At 36.8% G+C, this 3,881-nt stretch overlaps 1 annotated feature.

Annotated features, from left to right (window-relative positions):
• Positions 1,629–2,828: an enhancer, noted in NCBI's record as "P300/CBP strongly-dependent group 1 enhancer chr15:36720048-36721247 (GRCh37/hg19 assembly coordinates)". NCBI's record gives its function as "activates an origin of replication core promoter dependent on BRD2, BRD4, P300/CBP, MED14 and CDK7 cofactors, with strong dependence on P300/CBP, by STARR-seq in HCT116 cells {active_cell/tissue: HCT116}" and the evidence as "EXISTENCE:reporter gene assay evidence [ECO:0000049][PMID:35650434]".

A 3,881-nucleotide genomic window follows, 5' to 3' on the forward strand; every position in this document is an offset into this window, starting at 1 on the left:
ATTTATATTCCATATCTTGGCCACAGTTGGGTAGTGGGGTGGGAAAAATATATTAAGAGATGAAAAAGAATGGGGAGACATTTTGCAAGACATTAAAGGGATATCCAGGATAAAATTATTTCCTGATAAAGGAATATGTATAAATAAGTTGAAATGACATTGTTTCACAGAAGTAAAAATAAAACTTGATTTTCCTGAAAACAAATAAGGATATAAACGATACAGACTATTACATAATGTGTCTGTAACATGAGTATCTTATTACCCTATGTATTGCGTTAGTAAAAATGCATCAGAAACATAGAACAATCAGAAGCAGCTCTTGAATGGAGAAATGTCCTCTTTATCCCAGTTAAAATGAGAGCAGTCTTCAGGCATCATGTGACATTGTCCGAATATTTTGCATGACCATTTCTTAGGCTCTCCTTCTCTAATTGATTAGAGCAAATGTTTATAGGTAGCAGAGCTGTCTAAACCAGGTTCTTAACAGGAAAAGAGACACAAAATCCCTTTCTGATTGGAGACTCTGATTCCAGTGTATACGTAGTCTGTCTTATGTAGCTTGTCTATTTGAATGGTAGTGTCTTTCCTTAACTGCAACGAAACAAATAAGGTTCACGCACAGGTTTAATTTGGCATCAAGCTCCAACTTAGTCCCTTGTGCTTGTTTATTGCATGTCTGCAGCTGTTATTTTCCTGCTTCTTCCACAGTTAGACAATAGAGCCAGGCTGTCGTCAGCCTTGCTTTGCCTTTATTTTGTGCTCCCCATTTTTATTGATGAGCTTATACTTGTCCTGCTGATTAAGTAAAAATATGTTTTCTTTATAATTTTTTTAAAGACTATGTTCCCAAAAAAGTCTCTGAGTTTTCCTTTTAATCACTATTTTTCCCTTTAAAAATGCATGAATAAATTTAAACCCATTCAAATGCCAATATGCCTAATGTACATATTAAGTCAATACGATTTTACTTAACTTTTTCTACTTACATTTTTTTTACTATAGCTCAAGACTTACAACAAAATACTAAATGATGACTGATTCTCATAGTGTCTTGCTAGAAAAGTAGCAACTATTTCCTAAATATTGGCATGTCTAATTGCTCAAATTTTACAAGCTAAGAAGACTAGGAAGAAAAATCTTTCAAACATTTAGGTTAGCTCTCAGTGGAGTCTCTGGAGGTTAAGAGGTGAAGTCAAGTCGTACCATTCTTTCTTAATACTATCATTCTCAAATGATCAAATGTGATTTTTCACTCAACCAAAAATTTCTTTCTTCAAACTCCACTTCAACTGCTCACGTTTTTTAAATCTCATTTTCTTATGTATTTATTCTATTTATTCATTCATTTATTCCATAGTTATTCAATAGATATTTATTGAGCATTTATTGGGTACCAGATACATAGAACTTCAAAAGAAAAGATTCTGATCTCTGAGATCATTCAGAGCTAAGCACCAGGCTAACTGCCCTCCTCACGCCAGTCTGTGTGTCAGCCTTACATATCTCCTGGAATACATAATAGGAACAAGTAGATTTTTAGCACCTTGGGTTACCTGAGGGTGCAAAGAAATGAATCTCATAAAGCATGTGCCAGAGTGCCTGGGTTCAAATAATTGTTTTTCCACTTTTAGTGGTATGACCTCAGAAAACATGTTAACTCTGTGACTGTCTTTGTCTGTAAAATGAAAAAAACAATAGTAGTTACCTCGTAAGTTTTTATCAACGGAGTCAACATCTGTAAGGTACTAAGACCAGTGCCTGCTACAGAGCAACGCTGTATATATTTGTCAAATAAATGAAAACAATTAAATTATGCATGTTATGAAAATTAAATGAATTTTCACATATGTAAAATATTTAGATATGTGCTCAAGTGCTAAATAGAGGTTGCTGATAATTACTGTTACTGAATAGCCCCCTTCTGGGAAGCCCTGGCCTCTTCTGTAGAAGTTCTTACTCATATTCCACCGTTCAAGACGCTGCCTCCCAATCGTGATTGGCCCGACTGAAGAGAAAGCACTTCATCAAAAGCAGATGCTCCTCCATGAGTCACTGGACTAATCCAGTTGTCCCTCTCTGGAATTTCCATTGAGGATATAATGAGTAAGTCTGCCAGGCAATAGGAGCTAGAGTGAATATTCACACAGAGAAACCAGCAGGGACTGGGAAAGTAGCTGAGTCATATTCCCTGCAGAAAATGGGAAGGGACCCCTGGACCTCAGTTGATGACACCCACATTACTGAATCCTGAGTCATCTTCCTATCTCTGAACTGTGATCCAGTTATCTGGACACTCAAGCATACTGTGGTTTCTGCTTGTCCCATAAGACATAGTGCCCCTGCCTGCTCTTTTCAGTTTCCCTGAGTCATGGCCAAGTGGTTGAGCTTTCTCTCTTTCTTATATCCCTTATATGTTCATCATAGACCACTGTAATGTATGGATATTTCTTGCAGTTTAAAGAGCCTCCTCTGTATATCACAGGGAGATAATAGGTACAGAACAAGTTCAAAAGATGGCTCTCAATTTTGTCTTGACATCAGAATCCCCTGTACTGACTTTTCAAATGCAGGGCCTGGGCCCTACCACCCAGATGTGAATTCAATAGGCTGGAGCAAAGGCCAGGAATTACTAATGTACATCAAAGGCTGAAAACTATTGAAGGTAGTCAAAGAATGATGTCGGCCAGGCAAGGAGAAAAAGGAGAACAAAAGAGAAATGTTGTTCAGTGCTTAAGGATAAAACTATTCTGTGGTCTCCTCATTGATAATGTATGGATGGACACTTTTCTAGCATGTGAGATAATTTTTCTAGAAGATGTAGTACTCATTCAAAATCCTCAAGGACTCCCTGTTGGACCTAGAATAAAGCGCAAACTCTGTAACCCAGCATTCAGGCTCTCCATAAAGCACTTTGCTGCTCCACTGAAGAACTTCCTTCTATACCCTTACATCCCAGTCATACCTGCCTTTTGGTCATTCTCGAACATTCTGTATGTCATTATATTTCCATGCCTTTAATTCATGCTAGTCTCCCAAGCTAAATTGTCTTTCTCATTCTTTCTGTCCACCTGACACTAATAATTACAAGAGTAATAACAATTTACAGATCACAATATGCTTTTCTCAAACATTGTTACATCTCTTCCTCATAGCAGCAACTTTGAGTAACAGATATGCTCTTTATTTCAACTTTCTGATCCAGAAACTGAAGTTCACACAAATTAGGTGACATACCCAGTGCCTGATATATAGTAGAATGTTGATTTAAAAATTGGCCAGAAGTAGGAAAGTGAATCAAGTCTTTGAATATCAAAGTCCAAGCTTTCCTTTGCTTATTTTGCTTTGTTTTAATTAACATATATCCAAATTCCAAAGGCTGGAACTTTAATCTTTCAAAACTCAGATCCAAAGACATGCCAACATACAGACACATAAACATCCAGGGTGCTTTAACTATGTAATAAATATCTAGCAAAGTTATTAATTTGAGTCTGACAAGAATGAGACAGGAATCGTTGAGAACCAAATGCTCAGAAGAAGTAGATTCAATTCAACTGAATTTATCTCTACTTATCTTTATTGTCATTATGTCTCATCAAATTCATCTAGAACAAAATATTTCATGAAGGCTGTTGGATAGTCAGACATTCCTCTACCCTGCCTGCCTCATGAGGTTCAAATGAGATAAGGTATGGGAATTCACTTAGGAAAGTAGAAAATGTTGATAAATTTTTATCTTCCCCTCAGTTTATCGTGCTCTGCAAGAGAGTCATGGACACTGACAAGCATACTCCTAAGAAGATGCTCACCTCAAAATCTGGTTACTCTATTACTCAATACTGTATATGTTTTCCAAAGCTGTGTAGTCTCCTGATCCA

This window comes from Homo sapiens, chromosome 15 (genome assembly GCF_000001405.40).
Source record: "Homo sapiens chromosome 15, GRCh38.p14 Primary Assembly".
In the NCBI taxonomy this organism is placed as follows: domain Eukaryota; kingdom Metazoa; phylum Chordata; class Mammalia; order Primates; family Hominidae; genus Homo; species Homo sapiens.